Here is a 17,891-nt window from a genome sequence, read left to right on the forward strand (position 1 = left end):
GAGGCTGGAATGAGAAGGGAGATGGGAATTTGCAGTTGCTCACACCCTCATTCCAAATGTTATGACTACACTGGTGAGAGCTCTTGCTGCTCCCTGGAAGTGTTGGCCCCAGCTCATGTATTGCCTTTCTTCCATTAGCCTATTTTCCCTCCTCTCACGATCTGGTCCCAGCTCCCCTTTGTTCCTTGGGTTCTTTCTTACCGAAAAGTTCCGTCTCCTCCTTGGTGTGTTTTAATGCACATTATAGATGCTGTTTCTCTCTCTCTGGCTATCTTCTTCTTCTTTGTTTTTTGTTTTTTTTTTTTAAGACAGAGTTTTGCTCCTGTCACCCAGGCTGGAGTGCAATGATGTGATCTTGGCTCACTGCAACCTCCGCCTCCTGAGTTCAAGCAATTATCCTGCCTCAGCCTCCTTATATTCCATATTTGAATCATTCCTTCATCCTTCTTTCTCACTTTCTTTTTCAATATTCGTCTCTTCAGCACTAACAAATTTCTTTTTATTCCTGTATTTCTTTTTCATCTCTGCCTCTTTCTTGACCTACACATTTAGACTCTTCTTGTTTTTTTTCCCCTTGGAATATCCTATGTATTCTCACAACCAAGCGAACACAGATACCTTATGAGTTTTGTCCAAGAGGAAGGCTGGCTACCTTAGGGTTATAAAAAGTTGAGGAACTTTTCAGAACTCTCCAAATCATTTTCAAATGTAGAGAAGCTCTGTGAAAGGGGTGCCAGCCTTACTTTGTCTTTTGGCTTTGTTTGAGCTTAACTAAGAATCTGGGTTTCTGGGCTCTTAAGGATAAAATGCAATCAGATGCCCAAAGAAAATTGAAAGGCAAGGTTATTATGCTTGCCTCATTTTCTACCAATATTTTTCCTTAGATCATATAATGTGTAGATAACACTTTCTCTGATCCAGGATTTTTTCTTTTTTTTAAGATAGGGTCTTGCTCTGTCACCCAGGCTGGAGTACAGTGGCATGATCACAGTTCACTGCAGGCTTGACCTGGGCTCAAGTGATCCTCCTGCCTCAGCCTCCTAAGTCGCTGGGACTACAGGTGCATGCCACTATGCCAGGCGAATTTAGATGTATTTTTTTGTAGAGACAGGATTTTGCTATGTTGCTCAGCCTTGATTCAGGAATTTTAAAGGCTTTGTATTTCTTCTTATTCACAGAGACTCTAGTGGTTCAACCACTAAAACATTCCCGCTTTGGATTCAAGAGCAAACTTGAATTACAGAAACTCAAGTCTGAGGAATGGTGGACCTTGTATGCCATAGAAATATGTAAGTTTCAGGTTTCCTGTTGGCTCCCCTTTAGTCTACATTATATATCTCCCTGATGAAATAAATTAGAGAAGAGTACAGGTAGACAGAGAGCAGATAGTATTAATAAATTACATACTAGAAGAAAATAAAAGGGGGTATGATGGAAGGAAGGAAAGAAGGAAAGAAGGAAGGAAGGAGTCTAGTTGAGAGGAAAAAAGAGCAGTGGACACAGAAATAAGCAAATCGCACTTTGTAAGCACCTCTGGGACCTCCGAGGGAGCTGTAAGTGCTACATCTCTAAGATACATGGAATCTGGTCAGTCCGCAGAACAAGCTGAGTGCTACGCCCAGCTCTTCCTGATCTTCCTGCCCCAGAACTTGCTCTTCTTCCATCTGCTCCCCAGTGAAGGGGCTGAGACTAGAAAACAGATGTGATTCTAGTCTGAGGAGAGTCAGGGGAAGAAAAGGGTGTTGGGAGAAGAAACAAAAAAGCAGATGCAAAGCAGGACATAGCTAAGGCAGGACATAGAATAGAGAGCCTAGAGCAACAATCAAGTTTTCCATGAAGCTCAGACAGATGGAGACACTGAACTCAGGCCAGTCATTTGGCAGGGAGAGCAATGACCTCAATGTGCTGGCCTGGCTAGAGGCTATAGTTTAGGAGAGCCTCCCCAGGCAGTGGGAGGGGGCGTTCTCCTGGGGTTGTAGGAGGTAGTCTGGAGTTGGGGCAGTGAAAATAGGAACAGAATGTTCAGAGCAGGGCTGAAGAAGAGAACAGGCAGGGAGTAGCATCCTAGAAGGAAAGGAGAGGTAGTGAGACAGGAACTGGCAGAAGAGCAGGACAACCATATATTGTTGGGTTTTAAAGACTTTTGAGAATGCAGTTTGTTTCAAGGTTGGTTAGTTTCTTTTTTTTTTTTTTTTTTTTTTTGTGAGATAGAGTCTCGCTCTGTTGCCCAAGCTGGAGTGTAGTGGCGTGAACTTGGCTCACTGAAACCTTCGTCTTCTGGGTTCAAGTGATTTTCCTGCCCTAGTAACTGGGATTACAGGCATCCGCCACCAGGCCCGGCTAATTTTTGTATTTTTAGTAGAGAGGGGGTTTCGCCATGTTGGCCTGGCTGGTCTCGAACTCCTAACCTCAAGTGATTTGCTCCCCTCAGCCTCCCAAAGTACTGGGATTACAGGTGTGAGACACCACACCTGGCCAAGGTTGGTTAATTTTTTCATGGCAACTATGGCGGGCCCTTTATTCTACTACAGTTCCCCATTTGTTCTCAGAGCCCAGGTTTGGATCCCCAGGCTTAGAGATCCTCAGATTTGCTTTTCTCAGGGTGATTTTGTCAGCCTCTGTTGCATTGTACATTAATTAATCATTTAATGACATCAAGTCAAAATCAGCACCAATGGTCAGAAACGAGCAAATGCCATCCAGAGTTACAAGTCCATAATTTTCTGGGGTTCTTTTTGACTCACTGAGTAGCAATCCATACTTCCATCCCATATAGGCTGGATCTCCTGAGGGTAGACAACACATTCTCCAGCAATAAGAAAGCCCCTCATGGGACTGACTGGCGCGTGTAGAAGTGACTTAATGAAGGCAATCTATGTTTGAGTTACCCAGGAAAATTTTCGTTTTTATAAAATGTCTGTGAAAGATGGGCAAAGGGCAAAGAAAGAGGAGAGAGACAGAGATGCGAGATGTCAAGCTGGTTTTATTCATCTGTTTATTGGCTTGTAAAGAATACACCCATTAGCTGAAGGCCTCTGGGCAAATGTACAGAAACGTTATTACTACAGTCCCATCCAACTAAATTAAACCCAGGAGCTAAACACACACACAAAAAATTTCCCATAAAAGGAAGGAAAAGAAAGGGGGAAGGTTATATGAGGCAGGGAGGGCAGGGAGAGGGAGTGGTGTGTGTAGAGGAATGAAGCAATGAAGTAGTAACAGCCAAACACAAAAGATGGACTTAGATGCCAAAAGACATATGTCCTTAGAAAACTGAAGCTAGGGAACACTTGTTTGTCCATCAAAATCCGGCCTAGATGTCGCCTCCTGCCAGAAACCTTTCCTGGTCTCCTCTGCCTCTAAAGAGTTCATCATTCCCTCTATTAAACCAACTCTTTGTTTATTTGTATAATTATATAATCCACTTTATTAAACTCTTTTACATATCTTTAATCCTTATTAGGCTGAGGGTTTCTTTTCTTAGTTTTTTATTTTTTATAGAAATGGGGTCTCACTATGTTGCCCGGGCTGGTATCGAACTCCTGGGCTCAAGTCATCCCCCTGCCTCGGCCTCTCAAAGTGCTGGAATTATAAGCGTGAGCCACTGCCCCTAGCCTAGGCTGAGTGTTTCTTGATGGAAGAGGCTGTCTTACTCCTCTTTAGGTGACATAATGGTTAGCACATTAAAACTCAAAATTTGCAGCCTGGGCAACATGGCAAGACCTTGTCTCTACAAAAAAAAAAAAAAAAAAAAAAAAAAAAAAAAAAAATTGTTTTTTTTTTGAAACAGAGTCTCGCTCTGTCACCCAGGCCGGAGTGCAGTGGCGCAATCTCAGCTCATTGCAAGCTCTGCCTCCCAGGCTGACGCTATTCTTCTGCCTCAGCCTCTCGAGTAGCTGGGACTACAGGTGCCCACCACCATGCCTGGATAATTTTTGTATTTTTAGTAGAGACGGGGTTTCATCGTGTTAGCCAGGATGGTCTTGATCTCATGACCTCGTGATCTGCCTGCCTCCACCTCCCAAAGTGCTGGGATTACAGATGTGAGCCACCGCGCCCGGCCTTTTTTTTTTTTTTTTTTTTTGAGACAGAGTTTCACTCTGTCACGCAGGCCAGAGTGCAATGGCACAATCTCAGCTCACTGCAACCTCTGCCTCCCGAGTTCAAGCGATTCTCCTGCCTCAGCCTCCCAAGTAGCTGAGATTACAGGCACCTGCCACCACACTCAGCTAATTTTTGTACTTTTTAGCAGAGACAGGGTTTCACCATGTTGGCCAGGCTGGTCTCAAACTCCTGACCTCAGGTGATCCACCGACCTCTGCCTCCTGAAGTGTTGGGATTACAGGCATGAGCCACCACACCTGGCCAAAAAATTGTTTTTAATTAGGCATGGTGGCATATGCCTGTGGTCCCAGCTACTTAGGAGGCTAAGGCAGGAGGATTACTTGAACCCAGGAGGTCTAGGCTGCAGTGAGCTATGACTGTGTCACTACACTCCCTCCTGGGCAACACAGTGAGACCCTGTCTCAAAAAAAAAAATTATCTAAATTTGGTCAACTGGATTGAATTGAGATGAAGACTTGAAATAGTAACTTCCTATTTTTGAAATATTAACATTCAAAGACTTAGTCAAATGCAAGGGGGTAGAGGATAACGTTTTAGGGAAGTAAGCAGTTTGAGAGTATACATGGAGTTCAGCAAATGGAACAAGCAATCAATGTATTGAAGTGATATGGGGGCAATAGAACAAAAAGGAATAGGCTCCCCCAAAGCAGAAAAATTGGGCAACAGCTAGTCTTAAAGGAATTTTAGCAGTAAGACTGTAAAAGTTATTTCACGTAAAACATATATAATTTATATCTACAATAATTAGTGCTTCTGTCTCATCATTTTGCTTTGTGTAAATTTTCTGATGGCACTGGTAGTCGGTCTTACACTGTTACAGTCATACTTTCTTGACCACACAGACGTAAAATGTTTGATCCAGGTTTAAGATTCTGCTCAAGTTCCTGAACCCACAACTAAAAAGATATAAATAACTCTGATAAAACTGGCTATAGACAAACAAAACAGGACAAGTTCTAAAAATTCATTCATCCATCTTCTCATTCTACCTGCCAAAATAAAAAAGAGAGAGAGAAACTCTGGAATTTGCAAATATGGTTTAAAACAGGAAAGTTCAATGTATATAGTTATTAATAATAACTCATATAATTAGTAATTTCAGCACATCTATATAATATAGTTTTATAAATTATATGTATTAATACTAGGCAGCCTGTAAGACAGTCCCAATGATCCCCGTCTCCTGTTTTGTTTTGTTTTGTTTTTGAGATGGAGTCTCTTTCTGTTGCCCAGGCTGGAGTGCAGTGGTGCGATCTTGGCTTACTCCCAACCTCCACCTCCCAGGTTCAAGCAATTCTCATGCCTTAGCCTCCCGAGTAGCTGGGATTACAAGTGCCAGCCACCCCACCATGCTAGTTTTCGTATTTTTAGTAGAGACGGCGTTTCACCATGTTGGCCAGGCTGGTCTTGAACTCCTGAGCTCAAGTGACCTGCCTGCGTCAGCCTCCCAAAGTGCTGGGATTACGGGCGTGAGCCACTGTGCCTGGCCTCCCACCTCCCGTTCTTCATCCCCTGTGTGATCCTCCTGCTTTGAGTGTGATCTTAGGTACTACTAGCAAATAGAACATAGCAGAGGTAATGGGGTGTGACTTCCCAGATTATGTAACAGGAAGACTCTGGCTTCTATTTTTGGTGCTCCCTCTTGCTCTCCTGCTTTCTTCTTTGCTCTGAACAAAGCCAGCTGCCATGCTGTGAGCTGCTTTATTAAGATGCCCAAGTGGCAAGGCACTGATGTCTGTAGCCAAAAGCCAGCAACCCAAGGCCTGCCAAAAGCCACGTGCATGAACTTGGAAGTGGATCTTTTCTCAATTGGGCCCTGAGATGATGACAGCACCAGCTAACACCTTGATGACAGCCTTATGAGATACCCTGAGCCAAAGGTACCCAGCTAAGTCATGTTTGGATTACTAATCAACAGAAACGTTGGGAAAATAAATGTTTTTGTTTTAAGCTGTTAAATTTTGGGCTAGATAGATAACTAATATGTTGTATAACTACAATACAGGATTATTTTTATCTATTATATAAATTTAATATATATATATTTGTAACTATATATAGTATATTTCTTAGTCCATTTGTGTTGCTGTAAAGGAATACCCAAGCCTGGGTAAGTTATAAAGAAAAGAGGTTTATTTGGCTCATGATTCTGCAGGCTGTGCAAGAAGCATGGTGCCAGCATCTGTTTCTGGTGAGGGACACAGGGTTCGTCCACTCATGGATGAAGGGGAAGGGGAGCTGGCAAGAGAGGAAGGAAGCAAGAGAGAGGGGAGGGAGGAGCCAGGCTCTTTTTAACAACCAGCTCTCACAAGAACTAATAGAGGGAGAACTCACTAATTACTATGGGGAGAACACCAAGCCATTTATGAGGGATCTCACCCCATGATCCAAGCACCTCCCACTAGGCCTACCTCTAACATTGGGGGTCAAGTTTCAACATGAGATTTGGAGGGGCCAAACCATATCCAAACCATAGCAGTATATAATAATTATACAATATAGTATCAACACAGTTATATTAAGATGAAATACTATAAATTACCTCATATATTAAATATTAATGTAAATTAGTAATAATGGCTAATATTTATGGAGAATTTGTCATGTGTTAGGCTATGGTAGCTAAAAAGTAAGTACAGTATGATTATGCTACATAAATTATATACCTCCTTTGGAAAATAATACATTCATAGGAAAGCAGAGAGAAAAGAAGGAAATGAAAAGAAAAAATAAAGAAGAGATAAGGGAGAAGGGACAGGACAGAAGGAAGAGACATGGAAAGTAAGAAGGAATCGGCTGGGTGCGGTGGCTCATGCCTGTAATCCCAGCACTTTGGGAGGCCGAGGCGGGCGGATCACGAGGTCAGGAGATTGAGACCATCCTGGCTAACACAGTGAAACCCCGTCTCTACTAAAAATACAAAAAATTAGCCGGGCGTGGTGGCGGGTGCCTGTAGTCCCAGCTACTCGGGAGGCTGAGGCAGGAGAATGGTGCGAACCCGGGAGGTGGAGCTTGCAGTGAGCCAAGATCACGCCACTGCACTCCAGCCTGGGCGACAGAGCAAGACTCCGTCTCAAAAAAAAAAAAAAAAAAAAAAAAAGAAGGAATCAAGACCCCCATGATTCAGTTACCTCCCCCGGGTCCCTCCCACAACATGTGGGAATTCACCGAAGTTGAGATTTAGGTGAGGACACAGCCAAACCATCTCATTCTGTCCCTGATCTCTCCAAATCTCATGTCCTCACATTTCAGAACCAATCATGCCTTCCCAAGAGTCCCCCAAAGTCTTAACTCATATCAGCATTAACCCCAAAGTCCATAGTCCAAAGTCTCATCCAAGACAAGGCAAGTCCCTTCCACCTATGAGCCTGTAAAATCAAAAGCAAGCTAGTTACTTCCTAGATACAATGGGGTACAGGTATTGGGTAAATACAGCTGTTTCAGGTGGGAGAAATTGGCCAAGACAAAGGGGTTACAGGGCCCATGCAAGTCCAAAATCCAGTGGAGCAGTCAAATTTTAAAGCTCCAAAATCATCTCTTTGACTCCAGGTCTCCCATCCAGGCCACAGTGATACAAGAGGTGGGTTCCCATGGTCTTGGGCAGCTCTGCCCCTGTGGCTTTACAGAGTACAGTCTCCCTTCCAGCTGCTTTCACAGGCTGGTGTTGAGTGTCTGCAGCTTTTCCAGGCACAAGGTGCAAGCTGCTGGCGGATCTACCATTCTGGGGTCTGGGGGGCCATGGCCGTCTTCTCACAGCTCCACTAGGCAGTGCCTCAGGAAGGACTTTGTGTGGGGGCTCCAACCACACATTTCCCTTCTGCACTGCCCTGGCAGAGGTTCTGCATGAGGGCCCCACCCCTGCAGCAAACTTTTGCTTGGGCATCCAGGCATTTCCATACATCTTCTGAAATCTAGACAGAGGTTCCCAAACCTCAATTCTTGACTTCTGTCCAACTGCAGGCCCGATATCACATGGAAGCTGCCAAGGCTTGGGGCTTCCACCCTCCGAAGCCACAGCCCAAGCTGTATGTTGGCCCCTTTCAGCCACGGCTGGAGTGGCTGAGACACAGGTCACCAAGTCCCTAGGCTGCACACAGCACAGAGACTCTGGACCCAGCTCATGAAACCACAATTTCCTCCTGGGTCTCTGGGTCTGTGATGGGAGGGGCTGCCATGAAGGTCTCTGACATGGCCCGGAGACATTTTCCCCATGGTCTTGGGGCTTATAGGCTCCTTGCTACTTATGCAAGTTTCTGCAGCTGGCTTGAATTTCTCCCCAGAAAACAGTTTTTTCTTTTCTTTCTTCTTTTTTTTTTTATATGGAATTTCGCTCTTGTTGCCCAGGCTGGAGTGCAATGACACGATCTCAGCTCACCGCAAATTCTGCTTCCCAGGTTCAAGCAATTATCCTGCCTCAGCCTCCTGAGTAGCTGAGATTACAGTCATGTGCCACCACCTCAGATAATTTTGTATTTTTTAGTAGAGACAGGGTTTCTCCATGTTGGTCACGCTGTTCTTGAACTCCCAACCTCAGGTGATCTGCCCGCCTCGGCCTTCCAGCGTGCTGGGATTACAGGTGTGAGTCACCGCACCCAGCTGGGTTTTTCTTTTCTATTGCACAGTCAGGTTGCAAATTTTCCAAACTTTTATGCTCTGCTTTCCTTATAAAACTGAATTCTGGCCGGGCGTGGTGGCTCACACCTGTAATCCCAGCACTTTGGGAGGCCCAGGTGGGTGGATCACGAGGTCAGGAGTTCAAGACCAGCCTGGCCAAGATGGTGAAACTCCATCTCTACTAATAAAATACAAAAATTAGCCAGGTGTGGTGGTGGGTGCCTGTAATCCCAGCTACTCGGGAGGCTGAGATGGAGAATTGCTTGAACCCGGGAGGCAGAGGTTGCAGTGAGCTGAGATTGCGCCATTGCACTCCAGCCTGGGTGACAGAGTGAGACTCCATCTCAAAACAAAACAAAACAAAACAAAACAAAGCCTGAATGCCTTTAATAGCATCCAAGTCACCTCTTGAATGCTTTGCTGTTTAGAAATTTCTTCCACTAAATACCCTAAATTATCTCTCTCAAGTTTAAATTTCCACAAATCTCTAGGGCAGGGGCAAAATGCCACCAGTCTCTTTGCTAAAACATAACAAGAGTTACCTTTGCTCCAGTTCCCAGCAAGTTCCTCATCTCCATCTGAGACCACACAGCCTGGATTTTATTGTCCATATTGCTGTCAGCATTTTGGGCAAGGTCATTCAACAAGTCTCTAGGAAGTTCCAAACTTTCCCACATTTTTCTATCTTCTTCTGAACCCTTCAAACTGTTCTAATCTCTGCCTGTTACCCAGTTCCAAATTTGCTTCCACATTTTCGGGCGTCTTTTCAGCAATACCCCACTCTGTTGGTACCAGTTTACTGTATTAGTCCATTTTCATGCTGCTGATAAAGACATATCCAAGATTGGGAAGAAAAAGAGGTTTAATTGAACTTACAGTTTCACATGGCTGGGGAGACCTTAGAATCGGGAGGAGAAAGGCACTTCTTACATGGCAGCAGCAAGAGAGAATGAGGAAGAAGCAAAAGTGGAAACCCCCGATAAACCCATCAGATCTCATGAGACTTAATCACTACCACGAGAATAGCATGGGAAAGATGACCCCCCCATGATACAATTACCTCCCCCTGAGTCCCTCCCATGACACATGGGAATTCTGGAAGATGCAATTGAAGGTGAGATTTGGGTGGGGACACAACCAAACCATATCAGTTCTCATGAGATCTGGTTGTTTGGAAGTGTGCTACCTCCCCGCCTCCCCGTGCTCCTGCTTTCACCATGTGAATGGCCTGCCCTTGCTTTGCCTTCCGTCATGAGTAAAAGCTTCCTGAGTTCTCACCAAAAGCAGATGCCGCTATGCTTCCTGTATAGCCTGTGGAATCATAAGCCAATTAAACCTCTTTTGTCTATAAATTACCCAGTCTTAGAGTTAAGTGGTGCCATCTTGACTCACTGCAACCTCCACCTCCCGGGTTCAAGAGATTTTCATGCTTCAGCCTCCTGAGTAGCTGGAATTACAGGTGCCCGCCACCATGCCCAGCTAATTTTTGTATTTTTAGTAGAGACAGGGTTTCACCATGTTAGCCAGGCTAGTCTTGAACTCCTGACCTCAGGTGATCTACCTGCCTTGGCCTCCCAAAGTGCTGGGATTACAGGCCTGAGCCACCATGCCTGGCCTCTGACCGGGTATTTCTTTAGAGTAATGCAAGAACAGCCTAATACAGTGACAGAGCTATGCTGAGAGCAGTGACAGGTAGAGGTACAGTGCTGGTCTTTCAAATACTCCTTACTGACAAGTTTTCGTGAATCACTGATACCTTTCCATTTGAAGAGCATTCTCCTCAACTCCCTGAATGGTGCTATTTAACAAACTACACCAAAAACTTAGTGACTAAAACAACAATAATGATTATTTTTCTTGATTTTGTGTGTTGATCAGGCAGGAATTCTGCTTTACATAGTGTTAGCTGGGCTGCGGGGATGGCTGAATGGCTAGTTGGTGCTAGCTGCCAGTGGGAATCCCAAATAGGGTTGTTGGCAGAAGCCTCAGTTATCTTCCATGTAGTATCTCCACCAACTCAACTCACTCGAGCTTCTTTTTTTTTTTTTGAGATGGAGTCTTGCTCTGTCACTCAGGCTGGAGTGCAGTGTTACAATCTTGGCTCACTGCAACCTCTGCCTCCCAGGTTCAAGAAATTCTTCTACCTTAGCCTCCCCAGTAGCTGGGACTACAGGTGCGTGCCACCATGCCTGGCTAATGTTTGTATTTTTTAGTAGAGATGGGGTTTCACCATGTTGGCCAGACTAGTCTCGAATTCCTGACCTCAGGTGATCCGCCCGCTTTGGCCTCCCAAAGTGCTGGGATTACAGGAGTGAGCCACCGCACCCGGCCTCACTTGGCCTTCTGACAGCACAATCATGGGTTGAGAGAGTATGTGAAGAAACATCACATCTCCTAAGGCACAGTCTCAGAAGTCCCCACCATGTTCTGTTGGTTCAAATAAGCCACAGGGTCGGTTCCAATTTAAGGGAAAGAGAAATAAACTCCACCTTTTACTGGGAAGAGTGGCAAAAAACAAACATGCAGTCATCTTTAGTCCTCCACAGCATCTCTGAAGTTAAGCCTCATCGTTTTAACAGACTAGGGTTAAGTGTCAGATAGTCAACATTTACATTTTGCCCTTTCCCTGAAGCCTAACTCACCTCTTCTCACAATTCTTTTTTTTTTTTTTTTCCTTTTTTTTTTTTTTTTGAGACGGAGTCTCGCTCCATTGCCCAGGCTGGAGTGCAGTGGCCTGATCTCGGCTCACTGCAAGCTCCACCTCCCGGGCTCATGCCATTCTCCTGGCTCAGCCTCCCGAGTAGCTGGGACTACAAGTGCCCGCCACCACGCCCTGCTAATTTTTTTGTATTTTTAGTAGAGATGGGGTTTCACCGTGTTTGCCAGGATGGTCTCGATCTCCTGACCTTGTGATCCGCCTGCCTCGGCCTCCCAAAGTGCTGGGATTATAGGCGTGAGCCACCGCGCCCAGCCCTTTTTTTTTCCTTTTTTATGGGACCAGGGGTCCGGCGTCTCGCCCTGTTGCCTAGGCTGGAGTGCAGTGGCGATATCTCAGTTCACTGCAACCTCTGCCTCTCACATTCAAGCAATTCTCCTGCCTGAGCCTCCCAAGTAGCTGGGATTAGAGGCATGTGACACCATGCCCAACTAATTTTTGTGTTTTTAGTAGAGATGGGGTTTCACCATGTTGGCCAGGCTGGTCTCGAACTCCTCACCTCAAGTGATCTGCCCACCTCAGCCTTTCAAAGTACTAGAATTACAGTCATGAGCCACTGCGTCCAGCCTTTTGTCACAATTCTTTTTTTTTTTTTTTTTTGAGAGGGAGTCTGGCTCTGTCTCCCAGGCTGGAGTGCAATGGCACGATCTTGGCTCACTGCAACCTCCACCTCCTGGGTTCAAGCAATTCTCCTGCCTCAGCCTCCCGAGTAGCCGGGATTACAGGTGCCTGCCACCACACCCAGCTAATTTTTGTATTTTAGTAGAGACAGGGTTTCACCATGTTGGCCAGGCTGGTCTTGAACTCCCAACCTCAGGTGATCCACCCACTTTGGCCTCAAAATGCTGGGATTATAGGCGTAAGCCACCACACCTGGCCCTTTTCTCACAATTTTAAGAAAAGCTGTCACAGAAGAACCTCTTTGTTGCTGAATAATACAGACACATTTCAGTCTTATTTTCTTATTTTCTGAAACATTAGTCATTGCTGACCAGTCCCTACTTTTGAAATGTCCCCTCCTCTTGACATCTATAATATCACAGTCCTTGTCTTCCTCTTAACACCTCTCTACTGTTCTTTTACATTTCTTTTTTCTTCTTCTTCTGTTTACTCTTAAGTGCTGGTTTTCAAGGTTTTGGCCCGGCCACCTCTCTTTTTACTGTACTTTCTCCCTCTCCTTAATCCACTCCCAACTCTTCATTTACCATCTATTGGTTTATTCTCCCAGATCTATGCTTCAGTCTAACCTCTATCTATCACCTAAAATAATCAAAAGGGTCAAGATCTAATTTCAAAACAGTTTATTCTGGTACAAAGAGTGGAAACATCAACTCCAAAAGAAGGAAGTCAGCTTTGTGAAGTCAGGAAGTTAAGGGTTCATTTATATAGACAGAGGAGCCTTTAGCAGGATTACAACTTTTTTTAGACAAGGTTGGCACATAGTTATAGCAAACTGATTGGTTATAAAAGTGTTTCTTTTTGGGAGAGTACATATAGTTGTTTTCTTGTTTTTCTTTTTTTTTTTTTTTAACGGAAGTGTAATAGTCATGGGTTTTCTGTCATCTGGTCTAAGCAAGGCAGAACAACAAAGAAAAAGTTAATCTGTAACAAAGGTCATTAATTAAGAAGGCAGGAGGTTTTTGTCCCTGACGTCGTTAAATTTTCTCTAGTCATTGTGCAGGACAAGAAAAATAAGAAAACAAGTTAATCTATAATCTGAGAAACATGCTATAGCCATATGTGACTCAGATCAATCTCATCTCTGTCAAGGTTTAAATGTTTTGGGGGGTTCCAACAGCTTTTCTTTTTGAGACAGGGTCTCACTTTGTCACCCAGGCTGGAGTGCAGTAGCGTGATCTTGGCTCACTGCAGCCTCGACCTCCTGGGCTCAAGCTATCCTCCCACCTCAGCTCTCCCAGTAGCTGGGACCACAAGCGTATACCACCACACTCAGCTAATTTTTTGTATTTTTTGTAGAGACAGGTTTTCACCATGTTACCTGGGCTGGTCTCGAGCTCCTGAGCTTGAGTGATCCCCCAGTCTTGGCCTCCCAAAGTACTAGGATTATAGGAGTGAGCCACTGTGCTCAACCCCCAACAGCTTTTTTTTTTTTTTTTTTTTTTTTTTTTTTTTTTGAGACAGAGTCTTGCTCTGTTGCCCAGGCTGGAGTGCAGTGGCATAATCTCGGCTCACTGCAACCTCTGCCTCCCGGGTTCAAGTGATTCTCCTGCCTCAGCCTCCTGAGTAGCCAGGACTACGGGTGTGCACCACCACACCTGACTAATTTTTGTATTTTTAGTAGACACGGGGTTTCACCATGTTTGCCAGGCTGGTCTTGAACGCCTGGCCTCAAGTGGTCCACCCGCCTCGGCTTCCCAAAGTGCTAGGATTACAGGTGTGAGCGACCACATGCAGCCCAACAGCTTTTAAATTATATTTATTTTTACATATCTATGTCCTCAACTCTAAGTCTGAATATGCAATAGCACATCATTGTTTGAACATCCCATAGGCACCTTGAGTCAGACAGGCTTTAATTACAGGAAACCGACTCAGGAAGGGGAAAAGCTAAAGAAACACTCTAGTCTGAGCCCCCAGGAGTGACTACCAAGGGACTCTATTGCTTCTCCACCATCTAGGGGCCACCTTCCAAAATTGGAATGTCACCACTCGGGCATGAGAGCCACCCTGGCCGTGCTATAGTCCACACCAAGAAATCAGATGCTCACTCCTTGCTGCTGTTCTCACTGAGCTTGGTTTTTAATTCAAGTCTCATTCTAGGGTATACAGTCTGGAATCTAAATCACATTCAAACTCTAGCTGTAGGAGAGTCTTGAATATGTAGTTTTTCGTTTTCCACCACCTGTAGTACAGGAAAAGCTCAAGGAAAAAGTGTGGATAAATGTTGAGCAAGCTAAATCCCTAATAGCTCAACATGTCTGGGACAGAATTGTCATCTTCCCGCACAGTGCACCCCCACCCTCAGCTAAACTGGTGCCATGATCTACTAAGTTACACAGTTGAAATATGTGTGAATCATCCTCATTTTCCTCAGTTTCTCTCTTTGCCTAACTTGAGTCCCAGCACATACACCACACCCTTTATCACACACACCACACCCTTAATCACCAAAATCCCATTGAGCCTACCTCCTTAATATTGTTCAAATCCATCCATCCTCTATTCTTTCCACACGGCTTCAGCTCTGTTCAGTCATTACTCTTAACAGAGTCCTAAGTGATCCCCCAGTTCCCATCCACACTTCCCCATCTTTGTGATACAAAGCAGCCAGAGTAATCTCTTTAGCACTAATCTGATTAAGTCATTCCCTGGCTTAAAAACTATAAAGACTCTTCATTATCCTTAGGATGCGGACGAAACTCCTTAGCATGACATACATAGCTATTCATAATATTTTTATGTTGTGTCATCAGAGCTCCAACCCACCCACCCCAGAACCTTTGCCCTTTTTTTTTTTCTTCTTTTTTTGAGACAGGGTCTCACTCTGTTACCCAAGCTGGAGTGCAGTGGCACAGTCTCGGCTCACTGGAACCTCCACCTCCTGGGCTCAGGTGATCCTCCCACCTCAGCTTCCCAAGTAACTGGGACTACAGGCATGCGCCACCATGCCTGGCTAATTTATTTTTATTATATTTATTTATTTATTTATTTATTTATTTTTGTAGAGACAGCATCTTGCCATGTTTCCCAGGCTGGTCTCAAACTCTTGGACTCAACAATCAGCTCACCTTAGCCTCCCAAAGTGCTGGGATTACAGGTGTAAACCACCATGCTCACAAACCCAGCCTTGCCCCTTGTTTTTTAGCCATACTGAATTACTTGCAGTTCTTCAAAAGCTCAGAAGTCTTTCTTATTTTTCTTTTTTTTAATTAAAAATTTTTTTTTAATTTAAAAATAGAGACAGGGTCCCACTATGTTACCCAGGCTGGTCTCGAACTCTTGGACTCAAGTGATCCTCGCACGTTGGCCTCCCAAAGTGCTAGGATTACAAGTGTGAGCCGCCACACCTGGCCGGTCTTTCTTTTTTTCTTTTCTTTTTTTTTTTGAGATGGAGTTTCGCTCTCGTTGCCCAGGCTGGGGTGCAATGGTGAGATCTTGGCTCACCGCATCCTCCGCCTCCCGGGTTCAAGCGATTCTCCTGCCTCAGCCTCCCGAGTAGCTGGCATTACAGGCATGCACCACCACGCTCTGCTAATTTTGTTTTTAATAGAGACGGGGTTTCTCCATGTTTGTCAGGCTGGTCTCGAACTCCCGACTTCAGGTGATCCGCCTGTCTCGGCCTCCCAAAGTGCTGGGATTACAGGCATGAGCCACTGCGCCCAGTGGTCTTTCTTATGTCTAAGACATTGGCAAATAATTTCAGTCTTTGAAAGAATGCTCTGCAGACAAGATGCTGCCAGAGGCCCTAACTTCTGGAATGCGGGGCTGTGTTCAGGAGAGACTGTTCAAGTTCTGTCTTGCATTTCCCTCATTGTGGTCACTGAGAAATGGCATGGATTCCAGCTGGTGCAGGGGATGCAAAGGAAAATTAAGCTCATTTTTCAGGATGATCTGACATCAGATTTTTACCTATTTAGCAGATTCTGCATTCTTTATGTCACTGAAGATGATTCAGTAGCCAGATAATAGCTACATGAAGAGGCTTGGTCAGGTTAGGAATTCCAGTAATCTTCAAGGGGTTGTATTCGTTGAAAAAACTCATTTGAGTGAGCAATACTTTCCAGCCATACAGAAGTTCACTGTGCTTTACCTTGGGATGGCCAGCCAGATGGAAGCATCCTGCCTCACCATCCGGTGAATTGAAGAGCAAACCAAAGAGCTCTGGAAAAATCATTTCTCAGGAAGAAAGGGGCTCTGTTTTCTGAGCCATTTATTCTTTGTTTTTGTTTTTGTTTTGAGACGGAGTCTCACTTTGTCATCCAGGCTGGAGTGCAGTGGTGGCATGATCTTGGCTCACTGCAACCTCCCCCTCTCGGTTCAAGTGATTCTCCTGCCTCAGCCTCCTGAGGAGCTGGGATTACAGGCACCCGCCACCACCACCACGTGCCTGACTAATTTTTGTATTTTTAGTAGAGATGGGGTTTCACCATTTTGGCCAGGCTGGTCTTGAACTCCTGACTTCAAGTAATCCGCCCGTGTGGGCCTCCCAAAGTGCTGGGATTACAGGCATGAGCCAGTGCGCCCAGCCCATTCCTTCTTTGAAATGTGCAGCAGATTCCAGGAGTTGGAAAAGTTAAAGCCTTCCTTTTGCTTCAGAAGTTTCCAAGTACCCAGGAACTGAGTAATGATTCCATCTGAGAACTCAAGCAGCTTTTTGGACAAGAGGTAGCACAGCAAATCCTTGCCTTCTTCACACAGTCCAAGTGATGCACGGCCTCTTATCTACTATGTATTCTCTTTTAGACCACGAACAATAAGGTCTTGTATTCATATTTAAAAACCAAGAAAAAGATTTCTTCTCACAGCAACTAGTGAAAGATGAGGTGAGGCCTGAGCGAAGCCTGCGAGTCATCCTGCTGTCAGAGGCATGTGAACCAGAGCAACTCCATCTTGAATAGGAGCTGGGTAAATGAGGTTGAAACCTACGGGTCTACATTCCCAGATGGTTAAGGCATTGTAAGTCACAGGATGAGACAGGAGGTCAGTACAAAATACAGGTCATAAAGACCTTGCTGATAAAACAGGTTGCAGTAAAGAAGCCAGCCAAAACCTACCAAAACCAAAATGGACATGAGAGTGACCTCTGGTACTCCTCACTGCTACACTCCCACCAACACCATGACAGTTTACAAACGCCATAACAACATCAGGAAGTTACCCTATATGTCAAAAAAAGGGAAGGCATAAATAAGCCACGCCTTATTTTTTTTTTTGAGACAGTCTCACTCTGATGCCCACGCTGGAGCGCAGTGGCGCGATCTCGGCTCACTGCAAGTTCCGCCTCCCAGGCTCACGCCGTTCTCCTGCCTCAGCCTCCCGAGTAGCTGGGGACTACAGGCGCCCGCCACCACGCCCGGCTAATCTTTTTTTGTATTTTTAGTAGAGACGGGGTTTCACCATGTTAGCCAGGATGGTCTCCATCTCCTGACCTCGTGATCCGCCTGCCTCAGCCTCCCAAAGTGCTGGGATTACAGGCGTGAGCCACCGCGCCCAGCCAGCCACCCCTTATTTAGCATAGCATCAAGAAATAACCATAAAATTGGGCAACCAGTCACCCTCGGGGCTGCTCTGTCTTTGGAGTAGCCATTCTTTTATTCCTTTACTTTCTTGATAAACTTGCTTTTGCTTTGCACTGTGGACTCGCCCTGAATTCTTTCTTGCGCGAGATCCAAAAACCCTCTCCGGGGGTTTGGATGGGGACCCCTTTCCTGTAACACCGCTATACTGTCTGGGTTCAGGCATTGAAGTTATTGGA

The 17,891-nt window shown here is 45.1% G+C and overlaps 1 protein-coding gene and 1 pseudogene across 2 annotated transcripts in view; both read left to right on the plus strand.

Annotated features, from left to right (window-relative positions):
* Positions 5,812–17,891, plus strand: part of RIMKLB (ribosomal modification protein rimK like family member B) — a 114,454-nt gene continuing 102,374 nt past the window's right edge. The window contains exon 1 of one of the 2 annotated variants that reach the window (XM_047429188.1): positions 5,812–6,005. The gene's annotated coding sequence lies outside the window, so the exon portion shown is untranslated. The remainder of the gene's footprint in view (positions 6,006–17,891) is intronic. The other variant, XM_047429197.1, reaches the window with a different exon arrangement.
* LOC101060064 (Fanconi anemia core complex-associated protein 24-like) lies at positions 15,788–17,091 on the plus strand (annotated as a pseudogene).

The sequence above is a fragment of the Homo sapiens genome, chromosome 12 (assembly GCF_000001405.40).
Source record: "Homo sapiens chromosome 12, GRCh38.p14 Primary Assembly".
NCBI classification, from domain to species: Eukaryota; Metazoa; Chordata; class Mammalia; order Primates; family Hominidae; genus Homo; species Homo sapiens.